Below are 22034 nucleotides of genomic sequence, written 5' to 3'. Positions count from 1 at the left end.
AGCCAGCCCCCTGCTGGTCATCCCACCTGCCTGCCCACAGGGCTGCGAAGCACTCTTGTCCTAAATACGAGGCTCTCAGTCCCTGGGCCACAGAGAACAGCAGCAGCCTCCCATGGGCAGTGTCTGGCTGGAGCTGTTCTGTGCAGCCGCACTGCATTAGTGGGAGCAAGGGTTCCTCCAGGTGGGAGGTACATGCAAATGGGGCAATGGGAAAACCGTGAGGAATGAAAGCCTGAGATCAGCCCCAGACTCATGTAAGCCGGGAGTTTCCCCTTATGCTCCATTTAAGCAGGGCTACTCACCAAGAACATGGGCAGAGCCCCTTTGTCTAAAACCCTGGTTTTAGTGTCACAATGCCTGGAAAGCTGTTGGAAATACAGAATCATGGGCCCCATCCAGCCCTCCTGAATCAGAAGCCCAGGCTGGAGGCCCAGAAATCTTTGAACAGGTCCTCTCGGGTGTGAGCATTTGAGGCTCAAGCTTGAGGTTGGCGGGCTCAGGAATCTTTCCCTTCTCACCTGCCCATGCCCTGGTCTCCCTCCAGGATCTGTCCCATTATTATCTGTTTGTCTGAGGCCTTCTGGACCTCCCCATCCTCACTACACTCAGAGAAATCAACCCTTCAGAGCTCCCCCTTCAGAGCTTCATAGACCTTTTTATACTGAATTTGTGGCCCTTTTCCCAAATGGCTTACAGCCTGCTTCAGTGTTTCCCACCAACACGTGGGGAGAACCACCAAGAGCCAGCACCTGGGAGAGCGTTCCAGGAGGTAGCTCACACAGTCCTCGCGCTCCACAGCCCCAGTGAGCACTGTCCTCTGGAGATTCATCTCACACACTAGAAACCAGAAGTTCAAAGAAGTCCGAGTGCCTGGGCAGGGCCAGCTCGCAGTATGTGGCAGAGTGAGACCCAGTCTGTCGTTCACCACCTGTGCCCCTTCAGGGCGGGAACATGTCTCCTTTCTCCCAGTATTCCCAGTGCTGCACCAAGACCTGGCACAAGGAAGCCTGTGTGTTAAATGGGATTGGATCACACCCCATATTAAACCCACAGATGATCCCAAGTTAGACCAGTACCTTCAAGTCATCAAGACTAATTCTTGGCTGGGTGCGGTGGCTCATGCCTGTAATCCCAGCACTTTTGGAGGCCGAGGTGGGCAGATCACTTGAGGTCAGGAGTCCGAGACCAGCCTGGCCAACATGGTGAAACCCCGTCTCAACTAAAATTACAAAAATTAGCCATGTGTGGTGGCACGTGCCTATAATCCTAGCTACTTGGGAGGCTCAGGCAGGAGAATTGCTTGAACCCAGGAGGCGGAGGTTGCAGTGAGCCAAAATTGTGCCACTGCACTCCAGCCTGGGTGAAACAGCAAGACTCTGTCTCAAAAAAAAAAAAAAAAGACTAATTCTTAAATTCTTAGCCACCACTGGCTGTTGCACGAGGCTCCCGTCTTCCCACACACAAGGCCTGGCCTCCTGTGATGCCCAGCATTGCCAGTGCTCTGATAAGGTGAGCCACCTAATTCTCTCCCCACCCTCTGTTTCCTTTGAACTAAACATGCATCCGCTCTGGCACGCTGTTGTGAGTACATGCACACTCTTTATCAGACACACTCGGTCCTGGGTCACATTCTGCAGCTCTAGGAATTAGAGGGTCTTCTAGCCCTCCTCTGACCTCCTGCCTCCTACACTTCCAAACTGAGCTTTCCCCCATCGCCCTTAAATGGATCATTGCTCTTTTGAGGCTATGGCTTGTCCCTAACAAAAGTGGCAACCTCTGAAGCCAGGTCCTTGGCTACATTCTTTGTACGCTCCACTTTCCCAGTTGGCATAGGGCAGATTGCATGGCTGCTCTCTGGCATGGCGACCCACATGCCAGCCTACTGGATCACAGATCATTTTTTAGGATGCTGCCATGTAACATTACTGACCATGAGTTCTACCCACTTCATTCGTTCACTCATTTACTCAATGAACATAGAGTGCTTTTCATGCATGTGATGGTTCAGTTCAAACTCCCACTGTGTAACATCTCCTCTTTGGACTTATTGTTATTAATCAGTCAATGGGGCCAAATTTATTTCACTTATGTTTACTATAAAAACTTCCTGAATCAGATCCTTAACTGGTTATCTCAGAAAAGAAAGAAAAAGAGAGAGATTATTTGAGAATGGAATGTGTAAAACCAATGTTGAAATCAATCAGTTGTAGTTACCATTTTAAATAATCCCACATAATCTAAGTATAAGTGTTGGCCAGGGTTCATAAGGTCCTCTATGCACCTCTGTTGGGAGAGCAGGGGGCAGAGGGACTTATAATTCTTTTTTATTTTTATTTTTGAGATGAAGTCTCACTCACTCTGTCACCCAGGCTGGAGTACAGTGATGTGATCTTGGCTCACTGCAACCTCTGCCTCCTGGGTTCAAGCAATTCTCCTGCCTCAGCCTCCCGAATAGCTGGGATTACAGGTGCCAGCGAGCACACCTGGCTGATTTTTGTTATTTTTAGTAGAGACGGGATTTCAACATGTTGTTCAGGCTGGTTTGAACTACTGACCTCAGGCGATCCACCCGCCTCGGCCTCCCAAAGTGCTGGGATTACAGGCGTGAGTCACCGTGCCCAGCCAGATTTATGATTCTTAGTTTAGTCTGGAGGATGGCGGCCTTGCTGGTGTGAGATGCAGTGCACGGATTTCGTGATCAAGGTGACGGACACAGGCCAAGCCCTTTCCCAGGAACTCATCCCTGTTCCCAACTCAGACTTTTCTGAAGCCCCAAAGTGGAAACAGTGAGAAAATGTGCCATTCCACCCCAATTCCTCTGAACTCCTTCCACACAGTATTGTCTTCCCTCTTATAATATGCCTTACAAGGAGAGTAGGCTGCTACACAGGCTGCTGCGTTGGGCCTCTCCATTTCTTGGCACCAGGCTGAGCCCGGGAAGGTGCTCAAGGTTTGCCTCACTGTGTAGTCTCAGGAACAAGACAGTATCTTCCTCTTGACCTCCTTAGTCTTCCCACCACCACACTGTGCCGTTGTGTTTGGTTTTGAATCATCAAATATCTTCAACCTCACTTGAGCACATTCAGAATCTCTTAAATGGGGCTGGGCGCGGTGGCTCATGCCTGTAATCCCAACACTTTGGGAGGCCGAGGCGGGCAGATCACGATGTCAGGAGTTCGAGAATAGCCTGGCCAACATGGCGAAACCCCGTCTCTACTAAAAATACAAAAATTAGCCTGGTGTGGTGGCGGGCGCCTGTAATCCCAGCTACTTGGGCTGAGGCAGGAGAGTCGCTTGAACCCGGGAGGCAGAGGTTGCAGTGGGCTGAGATTGTGCCACTGCACTCCAGCCTGGGCGACAAGAGCAAGACTCTGTCTCAAAAAAAAAAAAAAAAAAAAAAAAAAAAACCTCTTAAATGGTACATTCACCATACGTATTATTTAACTTAACGGGTTATTTCCACTTTATTGCAATAAATGTCTCTGCCGATGAGTACAACCCATTGACAATGAGAAATCATTAAAAGCATTTAAGCAAAGAAATGATTACATTTGCATTCCACAAAGCTCTCTGTGGCTACAGCGTGGAGAATGGATTGGAGGAAGGTGTCAGGATGGGTGTGAGAAGGCTGATCAGATGGCGAAGGTGGGAGCTTATGATGATATAGAGTGACGTCCCTGGGATAGAATGGAAAAGTATTTAGAAAGTAGACTCTACAGGACTTGGTTTCTGATTAGAGGTGGTGGCGAGGGTCAAGGAGATGCTGGCTAGGACTTCCAGACAGAATGTGCCTTAAACCTGATCTAGAGGTGCCCTTCCTGAGTCCTGTGCCTTGCAGAACTCCGGCCTCCACTGCCTGTGTTCCCCCACCAAGGGGTGAGGAATGCACAGAACCAAGGGGGTATGAGCATTTGAAATCCAGATTCTTATTCTGTGCCACACTCTGTGTGTCTTGGATCTTGTATTTCCCTTCCCAAATGTCTCTGAGTCCATTTCCAGAGCCTGTGGGGGGCTTCTGTTCTGGTCTGTCCTCCTGAGGGTGGACGTGTTCCCTGGTGTGAGTGCCCCTATGTTGCAGGACTTTTCCTTAGTTCAGTTAAATATAGGGTTCTTTTTCCCACAGCCATGAAAATTCAGGCTCGCAGACAATTTGAATGATAAGACAGGGTTTTATTGGGTGAAAATAAAGAAAAGGGGAAAACAGGAACTCTCGCAAGGCCAGAGTCCCTGCTAGAGCACTTCCCGCCTGGCCATTCGAATCCCAGGTTCCACACAGGAAGAGGAGGGGCCAGGCTTCTCCCTGCTGCAAAGGTGGTGAACTTCCTGAGGCTCCACCTCAGTGGGCAGGCTGGTTGGAGTTTCTCCAGGGGTCTCCCTTCCACCTGGCTGTCTCATTACACTCTCTAAAGAAGTACATCTAACTGCCATTAGAATAAGGATAAGGACAAAGGCCGATCTTAACTGCTTCCTCTGACAGAGAGCTCTGTTTTGGGGAAACAGCAGTCAGATCTCCCTCAAAGGCCTATCTAAGGGCTCCCAGAAGAAGGGGCCATCGTCAGAGGCTCCAGTTGCATGACCATTGGGAGTGTGATGGCCTGAAGGCAAGAACAGACAAACTAAGTTATTAGAAAACATGTATCAAAACAAAACAAGGAATGGGGTAAGGAGAGCTCAAAAATTCCAAGGCCTTTTACCAGTTTGCATGGGGAGAGGGAGGCTAAAAGCCTGACCCGTTAAAAAAGCTTTACCCGTTTTGCCAGCCTGTTGGGCTTCTTGGTTCCCTTCCCCTGAGTCCAATCCTAAACCAACCAGTTTAAGGTTTGGGAAATTAACTCTTTCCAGTTTGGATGATGCATCTGAGGGGAGTGTCTCATAGTACGGAGACACAATTACCTATCAGTGAAGAGAGAACCATGGAGAAGAAAGGAAAAAAGAAGGCTCCTTTTAAAGGAGTCCCAGTCACATAGTGTTCTCAAAACCCAAAAAGCAGTTTGTAACCTCAAAACACTTAGCAAACCTTGCATCTGACCTGCATAGTTTAGTTCATCTATTTACATTTTAATGACCCCTGCATTTTACCCATAATCTTTAAGGCTGTTTTTATTTCTCAAAGATTAGAGTCAGGTGAACTGAAAGGTACCACAGCTTTTAACTTCCTTTAAAAAAAAAGTACTTGATCCAAGGGTTTGTCTTTCTTTAGGCCAAATTAATTAGAGCTCGTTTTACAGACATCACACACAGTACACAACAGGCAGAAGAAAACCCAGTTGCTGTGTGGGGCCCTTTAAGAGACAGGGCTAGGAAAACATGCAGATACCCAACCTGAGAGGGTTCATTCCCTAAGGCAGGATTGCTAAACAAAGCCTTGCCTCCGAGTTACAAGCCATGCCCTCAGGATAAAAAACAGGATGGAGGCTTAATTTCACAATAAAAACTTTGCAGAAAATATGAACGGTGAGAGTTGTGGGGTCTGGCCGCGTAAAAATGTCTTCTAAAAGGAAAAAAAAAATTAAAGGCTAACTGCTGACGGGATGGAGAAGAGGAAAGAAAAAAGGTTTAAAATACTGGAGGAAGAACTCTTATTCTTATACAACTGGTTCTTCCACCAGGAGAAAAGCTTAATTACTGTCTGATGGAGTAAAGCCCCTTGGCTGGGGAAGGGGAAGGCTCCAGTAGTGCAAGGCGGAAAAGCCAGCCAGCTGGTTGTGTGGGACCCTTGGGCTATGCATCCCAGCCCCAGCAGGGAGGGGAGAGCAGTCAGGGACGCATCCCAGCTCCGGCAGGGAGGGGAGAGCAGTGGCGGACGCATCCCAGCCCTGGCAGGAAGGGGAGAGCGGCGGGGAGCTGCTGCTCACCGGTCGGTCCTGAAAAAGGAAGGAAAAGGCCATGAAAAGGCCCCAGAGCGACAGGGCATGATGGGGGCATGGTTTCCCTCACCCTCAGAAGTCCGAGAATGGACAAGCTTAGAAGCAACAGTGAGAGGTTTTGAGTTCCCATTTCACTCACTGGTTCTTGAGTATCACATTGGGCATCAAAAGCGTTGCAGGACTTTTCCTTAGTTCAAGCTAAAGGCAGGGTTCTTCCCACAGCCACGGAAATTCAGACTCGCAGACGAGTTGAATGGTAACCCAGGGTTTTATTGGGTGAAAATAATGAAAAGGGGGAAGCAGGAACTCTCTCCAGGCCAGAGTCCCTGCTAGAGCGTTTCCCACCCAGCCATTCGAATCCCAGGTTCCACACAGGAAGAGGAGGGGCCAGGCTCCTCCCTGCTGCTAACGTGGTGAACTTCCCCGGGCTCCACTTCAGTGGGCAGGCTAGATGGAGTTTCTCCAGGGAACCCCTCCCACCTGACTGTTTCACCTGGGCCTTAGAGTTGCCCAAAGAATGGTTGATTTCAGGGGCTGGGGCAAGAGCTTGGATTTCCAAACTGTGTTGTTCACACAAAGGTTCACGAGTCCCCTCACCATCTGGGATGGAGCCAGGGACACTCCATCAGGGATGAAGTGAAGGGAGATGGTCCAGTCAAGGGTCAAGGCAGCTGATGAGCCAGCCTTGAGACCTTGCATGTCATCATTAAGGTGCATCTACAGAAGAGGATAGAACATGCATTTTATTTTATTTTATTTTATTTTATTTTATTTTATTTTATTTATTTAGGTGCTACAAGTGTGGTGAAGTTAAATGGATATAGTGTGTGTGGTGGTAAAGTCAGGGCTTTTGATTGTAGCCGTTAAGTAATTTTTCATCCCTCACTCCCGTTCCCATTGTTCTGAATTTCTATGGTATTCCACGCTCTATGTCCATGTGTACAGGTGGTTCAGCTCCCACTTGCCAGTGAGAACATGAGAACGTGGCTTAGTTCCCACTTGTAAGTAAAAACATGTGGTATTTGACTTTCTCTTTCTGTTATTTCACTTAAGATAATGGCCTCTAGTTCCATCATTTTCTTTAACAATTGTTTAGCCTAATTTATAAGTGTCAATATTTTGGACATATGGGTTGGGGGCCTCCCTTTGTACTCTTGCTTTGGGCCCTGCAATTATTAGGTTTTCTGGCTTAAGCAGTTGAATAATGTCAGCTGCTGAGTTGGAGCTATCTACTAAGATACAGAGACAAAAAGGAGAAGAGGGAGGTTGATTCCAAGCCTTTTCAGCTGTAATTGGATACCCTGCCATTGGAGGGATCACTGTACCGTAAGATTTTTGCTGGGCTGTGTTGCAAGGACTGCTGAGAAGTAATTTCCTGCTGCAGTATACTGGACCATAGCATCTGGCAAGTGCTGATGTATAAATGTCCTCCTCCTTCTGCAATGCCCTGGCTTCTTGTCTTCAGGGTGACTCCTATTCATTAAGACCCAGCAAGCCTCACCTTTTTCTCACCAATCTTTCCCTAATTATTCAGGCAGAGTTAACTACTTTTCTACCTAAATTCCAAACAAGCTGTTTCAACGTCTACCATAGTACTTTTCATTCCACATGGTTTTATATTCCAGCTTAGATTGGGAGCTTTTTAAAAGCAAGCACGCTTTAAGACCTTGTATCTATAACATCTAACATAGATCCTGGCATATATAACTCAACCTACACTTACTCACAGAATAAATCATTAAGATTATTTTTACTAGTATGCTAACCCAGTAGATAACATAGACAGATTCCTAGAAAGCCTTCTTATACCAACACCGATATGAGAAGAAAGAAATTCTGAATACACTTCTAGCAAGTAAATAGATTGATTTAGTAATTTAAAAACTTTTTACACAAAAAAGCTCAGGCACAAATGGCTTCATTGGTGAATTCTACCAAATATTTAAGGGATAATTTATACCAATCCTTCGCAAACTCTTCCAAAACACAGAAGAGGGGAACACTTCCCTGTCCATCATATGGGGCAATAGTACTCTGATGTCAAAGCCAGACAAAATATAACAAGAAAAGTACAGAGCAACCTCCCTTATGAATATAGAAAGTCTTCAAATTATTGTATACAAAAATCTTCAAATTACTAGCAAACTAAATCCAGCAATATATTAAAAAAAGAGATAGGCCATGTGTGATGGTTAATACTGAGTGTCAACTTGATTGGATTGAAGGATGCAAAGTATTGATCCTGGGTGTGTCTGTGGGGGTGTTGCCAAAGGAGATAAACATTTGAGTCAGTGGTCTGGGGAAAGCAGACCCACCCTTAATCTGGTGGGCACAATCTAATCAGCTGCCAGCCAATATAAAGCAGGCAGAAAAATGTGAAAAGGTGAGTCTGACCTAGCCTCCCAGCCTACATCTTTCTCCTGTGCTGGATGCTTCCTGCCCTCAAACGTTGGACTCCAAGTTCTCTAGTTTTGATACTTGGACTGGCTCTCTTTGCTCCTCAAGCTTGCAGCAGCCTAATGTGGGAACTTGTGATGATGTAAGTTAATACATGTAATAATATATACATATGTAAAAGGGAGTTTATTAAGTATAGGATATATATATATATACACACACACATATCCTATTAGTTTTGTCCCTCTAGGGAATCCTGACTAATATACCATGCCTAAATGAGATATTAAACTAAGTTTAGTCTATAGCTGCCTCCTTGTAAGTTTAGCCTAAAGGTTTCTCTGTACATAGTGGACTGTAACCTAACTGGAGGTGTAAACAGACTGTAGCCTACTCTTGTAGCAATCGCCAAGTTTCAGCCAATCGAAGGCAGCCAACTGTTCAAACCATGTTTGAACAAGGCAAATGCCAAGCTGTAACCAATGAGACTCTTTCTGTACCTCAATTCTGTTTTCTGTACATCACTTTCCTTTTTCTGTCTATAAATCCTCTCTGACCATGTGGCAGTGCTGGATCCTTTCTGAACCTATTCTGGTTGGGGGGCTGCCAATTCCAGAATCATTCTTTGCTCAATTAAACTCTATTAAATTTAACTTTCTAAAGTTTTCTTCTGACAGAGATTTATGCCAGGATGCGAAGTTTAGCATACGAAAACTAATCAATGTTATATGCCATTGGAGTAGGATAAATGACAAAAAAAACAAAACAAAGCAAAACAAAAAACACATGATCACCTCAATAGACAGTGAGAAAGCATCTGACAAAATCCAGCACCTTTTCCTAATAAAAATACTTAACAAACTAGTAATAGAACAAAATTTCCTCAACCTGATAAAGAACATCTGTGAAAAACCTACAGCTAATGTTATGCAAAATGGTGAAAGAGAATGCATTTCCTGTAAGATCAGAAAGAAGACAAGTACGTTGACTCTCACAACTTCTATTCAACACTGTCCTGGAGGTTATAGCCAGGCCAATCAGTCAAAAAAAAAAAAATGAAAATCATCTAGAGTGAGAAGAAAAGAGTAAAGCTAAAACCAGCCCAATTGTCCCATAAAACTGATGTTTATGGTTCCTTTTGAATAAACATAGAAATTGCCCCTCCCAGTATTAAAACTTGACAGAGTTACATTTATCTTATCTGAGTTCCTTTCTCAGGAAACCAGCCATGAGGCCTCCCAATTAGTATCAAGGATCTGAAACTTACAAGATTACAACACCTAGACAATGAGATACCAAACCCTTCACCCTTTATGATTGCCTAACTGACCACCTGCTTAACTCCTCTTCCTTACCCCTCCCTAATTCTTATTTTCCTGCATGAAGTTACATTTCTTCCCTGCTATATAAACCCCTGATTTTAGTTGGTCAGGGAGATGTCATTGAGACTGGACTCCCATCTCCTCAGCCGCAGCACCCAATTAAAACCTTCTTCCTTGGCAATACTCATGGTCTCAGTGGTTGGCCTTCTGTGCAGGGAGCAGCAGGACCTAGAGTGAATCCCTGGTATTTCAGTAACAAAACAGTATTTTCAGATGATATCTCCAAACTTCTATTTGTATATATAAAATTCTGTGAAATTGAAACCAAAACAATTAGACAGGTCCAGCAAAATGGCAGGATACAAGGTCAATGTAAAAATATCAAGTGTATTTCTGTATACTAGCAATAAACAATCTGAAAATGAAATTAAGAAAATAAAATAGGCTGGGTGCAGTGGCTCATGCCTGTAATCCCAGCACTTTAGGAGGCCGAGGTGGGTGGATCACCTGAGGTTGGGAGTTTGAGACAAGCCTGACCAACATGTAGAAACCCCGTCTCTACTAAAAAACACAAAATTAGCAGGATGTGGTGGTGCATGCCTGTAATCTCAGCTACTTGGGAGGTTGAGGCAGGAGAATCACTTGAACCTGGGAGGTGGAGGTTGTGGTGAGCCGAGATCAATGCCATTGCACTCCAGGCTGGGCAACAAGAGTGAAACTCCATCTCAAAAAAAAAAAAAAAAGAAAAGAAAAGAAAATGCTTATAAACATAACAAAAGAGGTGTAAGATATTCACTGAAAACTAAAAAACACTGTTTAAAGAAGATTTAAATTAATGGAAGGATATCCCAAGTTTGTGAATAGAAGACAATATTTTCAAGATAGCTATGCTTCTCAAATTAATCTACAGATTCAGTGCTCTCCAAATTAACATTTCAGCTAGGATTTCATTTGAAATTTACAAGCTGACCCAAAAATTCATATGGAAATGTGAGGGACCAAAAAATAGCCAAAACAGTCTTGAAGGATAAAATTAAATAACTCATACTTCTCAATTTCAGAACTTATTACAAAGCTATAGTAATCAAGACTGTGTGCTACTAGCATAAGGATAGGCATATAGATCAATAGAATAGAACTGAGAATCCAGAAATAAATCCTTACATTTATAGTCAGTTGATCATCATGATGCCAAGACAATTCACTGGAGGAAAGGACGCTTGTTTTAACAAATAGTGTTGAGACAACTGGATATCCATATGCAGAAGAATGAAGTTTAACTATTTTTTTACACCACACGCAAACATTAACTCTAAATAGATCATATACCAAAATGTAAGAACTTTTCTTTTTTACAATTAAAACTCCTAAAAAAATATAGAAGTAAATCTTTGTGATTTTCATCTGGACAATGGTTTCTTAGATACTACATGAAAAGCATAGCAACAAAAGAAAAATAGAGAAATGGAATATCTTAACAAAGTTAAAATTTTTTGTGCTCAAAGAACACAATTAAGAATGTGAAAAGGCTGGGAGTGGTGACTCTCACCTGTAATCCCAGCACTTTGGGAGGCTGAGGCGGGCGGATCATGAGGTCAGGAGATCAAGACCATCCTGGCCAACATGGTGAAACCCCGTTTCTACTAAAAATACAAAAATTAGCCGGGCGTGGTGGCACATGCCTGTAATCCCAGCTACTCGGGAGGCTGAGGCATAAGAATTGCTTGAACCAGGGAATCAGAGGTTGCAGTGAGCTGAGATCACACCACTGCACTCCAGCCTGTTGACAGAGTGAGACTCAAAAAAAAAAAAAAAAAATGAAAAGACAGCCCACAGACTATGAGTAAATATTTGCAAATTATACATCTGACAAAGTACACGAGTCAAGAATATATAACAAATTTTTACAACTAAATAATAAAATGACAACCTAGTTAAAAAATTGAGCAGAGGATTTGAGTGGGCATTATTACAAAGAAAATATTCAAAAGGTCACTAAGCACATGAAAAGGTTGAAAAGGTGATCATTATCATTAGTCACTTGGGAAATGCAAGTCAAAAGTACAATAAGATATTATCACATGCACTAGGATGGCTAAAAATACAAAAGACAGAAAATAACAAAGGCTGACAAAAATGTGGAGAAATCAGAACCCTGGTACATTGCTGGTGGGAATGTAAAATGGTGCAGCAACTTTGGAAAATAGTTTGGCAGTTCCTCAAAATGTTAGAGTTACAATACGACTGAGCAATTTTACTCATAGAGAAGAGAAATGAAAAAATGTCACACAGCAACTTGCACATGAACTGTCATAGTAGCATTATTCATAACAGCCACAATGGAGAAACAACTCAAATGTCCATCAACCAACGCATGCATAAACAAAATGGGATCTATTCATACAATGAAATATAATTTAATAATAAAAAAGAAGGAAGTACTGATATATGTTGCAACATGGGTGAATACTGAAAACATCATGCTAAATAATATAAAACATTATGCTAATGAAGCCAGTCATGAAAGACCACATATTTTATGATTCCGTTTATATGGAATGTCCAAAAGAGGCCAGTCTGTAGAGACAGCAAGTAGATGAGCAGCTGCCTAAGGCTGGGATGGGAATAGAGGTGCAGGCAGAATGTATATTAGTTTGCTAGGGCTGCCATAATGAAGTTTCACAAACTGAGTGGTTTAAACAACAGAAATTTATCATCCCCAAGTTCTGAAGCCTGGAAGTCTGAGACCGAGCTGTGGGCAGAATTGATTCCTTCTGAGAGCTGTGAGGGAGAATCTGTTCCACACCTCTCTCCTAGCTTCTGGTGGTTGCTGACAATCTCTGGCATTCATTGCTCCCGTCTCCGCTTTCATCTTCACACAGTCTTCTTGTATGTGTCTGTGTCGAAATTTCCCCTTTGTATAAGGTCACCAGTCATATTGGATTAGGGCCACTCTAATGACCTCATCTTAGCTAATTACAACAGCAGTGGTCCTGAATTAGTCCATTCTTACATTGCTGTAAAGAAATACCCAAGGCTGGATAATTTATAAGAAAAGAAGTTTAATAGGCTCATGGCTCTGCAGGCCATACAGGGAGCATAGGGACATCTGCTTCTGGGAAGGCCTCAGAAAGCCTCCAATCATGGCACAAGGCAAAGGGGGAACAGGCATGTCACATGATGAAAGCAGGAACAAGAAAGCGAGAGAGAGTGCCGCAAAGTTTTAAAAAACCAGGTCTCCGAGAATTCACTCACTATTCTGAGGGCAGCACTGAGGGGATGGTGCAAAATGTTCATGAGAAATCCACCCCCATGACCCAGTCACCTCTCACCAGGCCGCATCTCCAACACTGGAGATTACATTTTAACATGAGATTTGGGCAGGGCAACATCCAAACTATATCAGACCATATTTCCAAATAAGGTCACAATCTAATTTACTGGGATTTAGGATTGCCACATGTAAATTTTAGAAAGATGTAATTCAACCCATAACAGAGAGTGAAAGCTGATGTTTACGGGGTCTCACTGTGCAGCGAATGAAACGTTCTAAAATTAGATAGGTTGTACAACTCAGGATATACTAAAGACCACTGAACTGTACACTTTAAATCAGCAGTCTATGGTGTATGTTTTAAGTATCAATAAAGCAGTTAATAATTAGTTTTTTTAGTGCCCCAGGGTGCTTTTACTTCTATTGTGTGATGAACTTAGCAGGATTTTTTAAAAAAATTTTATTATTTTTAAATTTTTAACTGACAAAAATTGTTTATATTTATATTTTACAAGATGATGTTTTCCAAGAGATATACCTTGTGATACACATTTGCCTTGATTAAAAGAAAAATCAAGCTAATTACCATATGCACTAACTCACATACTTAGAATTTTGTTTTTGTGGTGAGAGCACTTAAAATGTGCTCTCTTAGTGACTTTCAAGTATGCAATACATTGTTATTAACTGCAGTCATAATGTAGTGTAATAGATCTCTTGAACTTATTCTCACTGTCTAACTGAAATTTTGTGTCCTTTGACCAACATCTCCTCAATTCTCCCTCAATTCCCTCAACTCTTGTCACCATGATTCTACTCTCTGCTTCTGTGATTGTGACTTTTTAAGACTCTATAAATAAAATTATGCAAGATCTGTCTTTCTGGCTGGCTTATTTCACTTAACATAATAGATGAATCTGTCAATTTTCACTTAACAGGTTTATCTATGTTGTGTTGCAAATGACAGGATTCTTCTTTTTAAAGGCTGAATAGTATTCCATTGTGTACATATACCACATTTTCTTTATTCATTCATCTGCTGATGGCCACTTAGGTTAATCTCATATACTGGCCATTGTGAATGATGCTGCAATGAATATGGAGATGCAGATCCCTCTCTCCTACGTACTGGTTTGATTTCCTTTGACTATATACTCAGTAGTGGGATTGCTGCATCATAAGGTAGTTCTACTTTTAGTGTTTTTCTTCTATTCCACACAGTACTGGAAGTCCTAGCCAGAGAAATTAGGCAGGAAAAAAAAAAAGAAAAAAAAAGAAAAAGAAAAAGGAAATAAAAGACATTTAAATATCCAAATTGGAAAATAAAAGAAGTTAAATTGTCTCTGTTTGCAGATGACATAATCTTATATATGGAAAACACCAAAAATTGTTAAACTAATAAGCAAATTTAGTAAAGTTATAGGATACAAATCAGCATATTACAATTAGTAGTGTTTCTATGCATTAGCAACAAACTATCCAGAAAAGAAATTTTAAAAATTCAATTTACAATAGCTGGAAAAATAATACTTAAAAATAAATTTAATCAAGGTGGTGCAAGACCTGAACACTAAACATTTTTTATAAAACAGTGTTGAAGGAAATTGAAGAGAACATAAATACATAGAAAGATATTCTGTGTTCCTGGGTTAAAATAATCAACAATTTATTTCAATTATATCAAAATCTCAATGATTTTTTTTCCGCAGAAATAGAAAAAAAAATTCAAAAATTTGTATGGAACTACGAAAGACCCTGAATAGCCAAAGCAAACTTAAGTAAATAGAAAAAATCTGGATGCATCATATTTCTGGATTTCAAAATAGACTACAAAGCTGTAATAATCAAAACAGCATGGCTCTGACCAATGGAACAGAATAGAAAAGCTAGAACTAAATCTACACATTTATGGTCAATTGATTTTTGACAAAGATGCCAAAAACCCATAACTGGGAAAGGACTGTCTCTTCCATAAATGGTATTGAGAAAACTGAATATACATCTCTGGAAGAATGGAATTCAATCTTTATCTCATGCCATATACAAAAATCAACTCAAAATGATTACAGACTTAAACATAAGACCTGAAACTCTAAAACTGTTGGAAGAAAACATAGGGGAAACGCTTTATAACATTTGTTTGGGCAATGACTTTTTTGGATATGACCCCCAAAACATGGCCATCAAAAGCAAAAACAGACAAATGGGATGTGCATCAAAATAAAAAGTTTCTGCACAGCAAAGAAAGCAATCAACAAAATGAAGAGACAACCTACAGCATGGGAGAAAATATTTGCAAATCATGTGACCCATAAGGGGCTCATATCCACAATATATAAGGAACCCAACACAATAGTAAGAAAACAAATAACCCAGTTTAAAAATTGGGCAAAGGTTCTGAATAGACATTTCTCAAAAGGATACACACAAATGGCCAATAGGTATATGAAAAAAAGCTCAACATCACTAATTATTATTATTATTAGAGATAGAGTTTTGCTCTTGTTGCCCAGGCTAGAATGCAATGGCATGATCTTGGCTCACTGCAACCTCTGCCTCCCAGGTTCAAGTGATTCTCCTGCCTCAGCCTCCCAAGTAGCTGGGATTACAGGTGTACACCACCACACCCAGTTAATTTTTGTATTATTAGTAGAGACGGGGTTTCACCATGTTGGCGAGACTGGTCTCAAACTCCTGACCTCAGGTGATCCACCTGCCTCAGCCTCCCAAAGTGCTGAGATTACAGGCATGAGCCACTACACCCGGCCCAACATCACTAATTATTAGGGAAATGCAAATCAAAACCACGGTGAGACATCACTGCACACCTGTTAAAATGGTTGTTATCAAGAGACAAAAGATAAGTGTTGGAGAGGATGTGGAGAAAAGCAAAAACTTTTACATTTCTACACTGCTGGTAGAAATGTAAATCAGCACAGCCATTAGAGAAAACATTATTATGGAGGTTCCTCAAACACTAGAAAGGGTTTTAAAGATTGTGAAGTTCACCTTCAATGAAGAATTTGACATTTATTGGAAATTTATAGCTCTTTCCTTGTTTTAAAAACACTCCTAAACATCAAGTTTTGAGATATACTAAACATGAAACTTGGATCTTGGAATGAGTAATTTCTCCTTCCAAAATGAGCTTTTGTAGTTATGATTTCTAAGAATTCACAATACTGTCTTAATTCCAAGAATATGCTATGAGCCAGAACAGAATATCAAAGCTATTCATACAAGTGGTTTAAACATAGGGATATAAACTCTGCATCAAAGGAATATGACTTAAAAATTCTGAATTGAACATACTGTTGTTAACTTTAGACCATATATAGAAGAGTGAAATGCTTATTAAAAATGTTTTTTTTTCAAGCAGCACAAAAATATGCTCCCTCCTTAGCCCTGACACTCACATTTTAACCTCTCATATCTGTGGATTCCACTGCCTGCTGACACATGGGTTTGAAGACACTGTCCCAGGGTGTTAGAGACTGGAATGAGAGGTGAGTGATGTCCCAAAGGGAAAAGGGCCAGGGATGAGAGGTCTGCAAGGAATTCGCCTGGTGAGAAACTGCTTCTCCAGTGGTCTTTTGTACCCTCCACGTTAGCTCACTTCGCTGGTCATGACTGAAGCTGGTTAGTGTGCATGACTCCTCCTTTTATGTGAGTTCAAATGTTTGCTGAGGGCTCACTATGATGGAATCTATATGGGGTATGGAGGTGAAAATGGAAAGGAAGGGCAAGAAATTAAAAACACTTACTCTGGTTAATTTTGGTTCTTTTCTCATTTAACTCTTTATAATTATTTCCTTATCCTTCCCAGTTTACAGGTGAGGATGCAGAAGCTCAGAGAATTTAAGTACCTTGCTTGAGGTCAAACAAATTCTAGTGGGTCCAGGGTTTGAATTCTGTATGTTTGAAATCAAAGCTGAAACTAGTAGGGGTGGGAAGAGAGAGAGGGGAGAGAGGAGAGAGGAGAGAGGAGAGAGAGGAGAGAGAGAGAGAGAGAGAGATCTGTAATTAAGAGAGGAAGATGATCAAGAGCCAGTAAAGTTTGAGAAACCTTGTGCGTTTCAGGAGAATGTTGGTCAATATTGTCCAGGAAGACCAGCAGTTGGAAGACAATCTTGGCTCATCAAAGACCTTTGAAAGTGCAATTGTCAGGATTTCCGTCAAGGGGTTAGATGGAAGTCAGATAGCGAAAAATTAAAGAATGGACATATAGAAATAAGTAGGCAGTAGGGGTTACTTCCTAACACTTTTTTTTCTTCACTGTAGCAATGGAGAAAATGAGTTAGAAACTCGGGAGGAAAATGAGGACCTGAGAACGAAAAAAGTGCTGACAAATTTCTATGGCATGAGAAAAGAGGCAATAGGAAGGGAAAAGAGGAGAAAGGTACAAGTAGAGGTGCCCTCCACTACTCAGAGTGGGTTAATGGGCAGAATCGTCCCCCAGCCCAATGGCTCCCTCCCCAGAGCTCCACCCTTCAGGAGGAGCTTGCAGTGCAGCCCAGGAAAGAAAGGGGAGAGTGAGGGGGCATGGTCATCCCTCCCGGCCAGGTCCTGAAGGGACACAGCATTCTGCTCATTGACGACTGGATACAGGGCTCCCTGACGGCCCCTGGGTGCAAGGACAGGCCGAATGTAGCCTGCCTCTGTGCCCAGGAAGAGGAGGCGGGCTTGGTGGGCTTCGCCAAGGCAGAAATGCGGAGAGACTGGGACACAGGGGAGCAGAGGAGCAGCAATAGTGGCGAGAGTGGAGGGTGGTGCCAACAGGAGGCTGTGATTCCAGGAGAGGGGCTGGACAGGGTCAAATGTGGAAGCAAAGGTATTGGGCTGATGAGGAGGAGTTGGGCTGATAAGGAGGGCCACTTCTAAGACTGAAGAAAAGGGAGAGGAGCTACAGGTGTCAAGAAACTTTAAGCAGGAAAGAAAGGAATTTGGGCATTTATGACAAATGACTCCCACAAATGAGATCAATTCATGAGCGTGTTAGTAGTAGAATGTTTCATACATGAGAAATACTACATTAAAAGGAGGAAATGGAGAAGAGTACATTTAAGGATGGTAACCTAGCGGGAAACACAGTATGAGAATGGGAGTTGATGTCAAGTGTCCTCCATTCCCGTCTCAGCACTTCTGCTATGTGGTTTTAGGAAAGCTGTTCTCCTCTAAGCCTGAGTTTTCCCATCTGTGAAGGGGGACAATGGCCAGTGTCACACACTGTGCTGTGTCTGGAGCCAGGGAGGTCATGGGGCCAATGGCAGGTGGAGTGGCCTCAGGTAGGTTACTGAGCCTCCTTGGCCTTAGCGTCTCCTTCTGCTCACAGGGGTCAGTTCACCTCCCTGCTAAGCGGGGGCATCAGGGCAACGTTAGGTGAGGTGACACCTGCAGTGAGAATCAGCACTCAGCTCACATCAGATCCCTTTCCTAGGAGAGAACAGTAAACCCAACCAGCTTTTCTGAGGAATGAACACTGTGCTGCCATTGAAATAAGGGTGAGAGATATTTTCTACCACATTTTACTTTAGTCAAAGTGAAGGCGTGCACGTGCGCACACACACACACTTACAAAGATTTTTCTTTCTTTCTTTTTTTTTTTTTGAGATGGAGTTTCACTCTTGTTGCCCAGGCTGGAGTGCAATGGCGCGATCTCGGCTCACTGCAACCTCCGCCTTCTGGGTTCAAGTGATTCTCCTGTCTCAGCCTCCCGAGTAGCTGGTATTACAGGCATGTGCCACACGCCCAGCTAATTTTGTATTTTTGGTAGAGACGGGGTTTTGCCCTGTTGGTCAAACTGGTCTCAAACTTCTGACCTCAGGTGATCCACCCACCTCAGCCTCCCAAAGTGCTGGGATTACAGGCATGAGCCACCCATGCCCAGCCTACAATATTTTACTTTAGCCAAAGTGAACACACATACACACACATTTACAAAGATTTCTGATCTCAACCTGATATATTCATTTATCTACCCTGGAATTCTTTTGTTCATTGTCTTCATGAGTGAACTGTCTGACTTGAAAGTGTTTGGTGAAGGCAAATGGGTCCTTTAACCACTCTGTTCATTTAAATTATTATTTAAGGACTAGACAGGTGTTTCATCATGGGAACTCTTTAGTATGTGCTTCTTGTCAGCCTCAGGAATCAAAGTGATTTTAGCATTATGGAATATGTTAAAGTAAACTTAATTCTTGTTGCAAATCATGAACTTTTTATATATCAGTGAAAAGGGACTTACGTGCTGAGATATCCAGTGTATCACCCAAGACCCACCTGTATAACTTTGGATGAGTAAGGTAATTTTAATGGCCTTCTATTCCAGTGGGCTTCCTCTCTAAAGAGAGGCTGAGCAAGAACACTCCAACAAGTAACACTTCATCATATGATGCATTTTGCAAACAAGGAAAAAAAATATATCTATATATAGTGGTTTTCAAAAAAAAGGAGAAAAATAAATAACAAGTGGACTGACTTAAAATCAAAGTTGATTAGAAGAGTCCTAGGTTATTGTTATCTGTTTATTTCTTTAAAATATTGACCATATATTTAAAAAACTAATTGAAGAGTTCATTTAATTCAGTATTTCTTCAACTTTCTGTCATTCATATATTCCCTTCATGTTTCTGCCATATCTGAATATTGCTTATGCTAATTTTTGTTGATATTCTTTAAATAGATGCACACTTTTTACTTAAATTATTTATTTGATAAGAAAGATTTTAGCACTACTATGAATGTGAATCCATCATTGCTTGTCATAAATAAACAATCTGTGAGGTGTGAACCTACATGTTTCAATGACCAAGTGTTGTTGACCATTCTCCTCAGTTATGGTTGTTGCCTTGGAGTCAGGAGCCCGAGGTGGCTCTCTGTGCCCTGGAGAGGGATGGCTGGAGAGGTGGGGACACCCGTTCCCACTAAACCAAGTCTTTCTCTTTGGCATCATCAAAGATCAAGCCGAGGAACAAGGGGCCTGGTGAATCCCATCACAAGAAAGACACCAGCCTGCCTGTGCTCACCAGGAGAGTTGATTTAACTTGCTGTCCCAGGGTGCACATCATGGGTGAAGCTTGGAGCATCTCCATATGGGGGACGCCAGGGGGCCTTTTGTAAGGACTGGCTTGTGTGCGTGGCTTTAGGTGGGCCTTGCAATGTGGGAAATGCTTAGGTAGGTTGGGCAAGTTGGGGAATGCATTAACTGCAGGAATGGTCCCTTTGTAGCCAGAAGAATCTTGGCTATGGGCAGTAGCTGTGGTATGGGGACCAAGATCTCACCTAATGACCATATGTGTCACAGGGCCCATCACTGGCTTCTCAGAATTAACTTGTTAGGTATTTTATTTGATGTATGTCTAAGCATCTCCTAAAATCATCTTTTTATTCCTCAGTTATGGCATATTCCACATGTGGTGCACCTCCCAGTTTTCAAAGCATGGATCTGTTCTAACATCGGCTGACACATACATTTTCCTCCTTAACATTCCCCAAGTGCAGTTGTTTGCCTTTGCCTTAAACATTTCAGTGAAAGGAAATGCAGTGCTGGAAAAAGCCGTCACCACGCTGCTGAAGGTCTCCCAGCCCTGGAAGCCTTTTCAAGCGGTGCTTCTAGCTCTTTGCCTCCTGCAGTTTTTGTTCTTGTTCTTCTAGTTCTCTCCTCTGCAGTTATGCCGGGGGTTACTGACATGACCGTTTCTCGGCTCCCAGGACGTTACACACTTTATTAAAAAATATGAGTGATCACGAGGTCAAGAGATTGAGACCATCCTGGCCAACATGGTGAAATCCCATCTCTACTAAAAATACAAAAATTAGCTGAGCATGGTGGCGTGCACCTGTAGTCCCAGCTACTTGGGAGGCTGAGGCAGGAGAATTGCTTGAACCTGGGAGGCGGAGGTGGCAGTGAGTCGAGATTGCACCACTGCACTCCATCCTGGTGACAGAGCGAGACTCCATCTCAAATATATATATATATATATGTAGTGAGTTGGCCCTTAGAACCGCCCCCATCCCCCAGCTTCTCCCTGGCTGCTCTGAATGATTCCTCAATGTTTCTATGTAGATCCTGTCACTGTTGCCTCCCCAGTCTACATGCAAGTGTTGCGCCCTCTTGGCATCCTGTGTGCACTCAAATCAGAGAGACAGGATGGACAGGTAGTGAGTGAACCACCATCTCACGGTTACTTTGTGAAGTTTCAGGGAAGGTCTTGTCTTTCAGCCATGCTAAATATTGCCAGTATTCAGGAGTTGATTCTGTAATTGGCAGCTGTTGTTAGCCCTCAGATGTGTGTCACCCACAGTGTGTTCTGCTCCCCCAGCTGCAGCTGACCAAACACACCTGGAAGCTCTCATGCATCAATCAGCCTCCTTGGTGCATTTCTCTAGTATCCAACTCATTTACCTGTTGAGAAATTATATCCCTAAAAATCAGCACTCTTGGTTGTTTGAATCTTTGTTAAAAAAAAGTGTGCTTTTGTGAATATGGAATCCAAAATTAATACAGATGCTTGTCGACTTACCCTGGGGTTACGTCTAGATAAATTCATTTTCACTGAAAATATTGCAAATTGAAAGTATATTTTTGGACTTACAATATTTTCAACTTACGATGGGTTTACCTGAACCCCATTCTAAGTTAAGAGGCGTACAGAATGTTTATGTTTTTGTACCATCCTGAAGTAAAAAAATCTTAAGTCCAACCGTCCTAAACTGGGGACCATCTATTATGTAATCGTAAAGCTGGTGGATCCCAGTAAAGGGCTCCCAGCGATGCGATGGGTTACTACTGCCACCTGCTGGTAGAACATTTCTTTGTCGATGCAAAAATAATTCTGGAGTTAGTGGTAACATTCTGCGTCTTGAGGGGAGCTTGGATTGCGCATGCAAATACATTTGTCAGCTTACAGATACAATTCTTCCTAGAAACCAAGATGCCACCAACAATGAAGACGGCGCCTATTTGGGGATTGACTTGTTGGTTAATATATGAGAATTTCCTTGAGGTGAGGTCTCCAGTCATGTAGTTTCTGGCTCCCTTTGGATCAGCTTTAGATAGGAACAAAACAAATGTACAATAAAAAGAATCAGAGCAGTAGTTGCATCTTGGGTGAGGGTCAGGAATTTATCTGAAGGGATCCTGAGAGAGTTTTCTTGGGGTGACAGTAATGTCTT

The 22034-nt window shown here is 42.5% G+C and overlaps 1 annotated feature.

Annotated features, from left to right (window-relative positions):
* Positions 5757-6275: an enhancer, noted in NCBI's record as "H3K4me1 hESC enhancer chr7:51513734-51514252 (GRCh37/hg19 assembly coordinates)". NCBI's record gives its function as "activates a minimal SCP1, AML or CMV promoter by ChIP-STARR-seq in naive H9 embryonic stem cells {active_cell/tissue: H9 hESC(naive)}" and the evidence as "EXISTENCE:reporter gene assay evidence [ECO:0000049][PMID:30033119]".

This window comes from Homo sapiens, chromosome 7, assembly GCF_000001405.40.
Source record: "Homo sapiens chromosome 7, GRCh38.p14 Primary Assembly".
NCBI lineage: Eukaryota > Metazoa > Chordata > Mammalia > Primates > Hominidae > Homo > Homo sapiens.
Note: the sequence above shows the minus strand (reverse complement) of the source record. Positions and strands in the feature narration are given on the sequence as shown.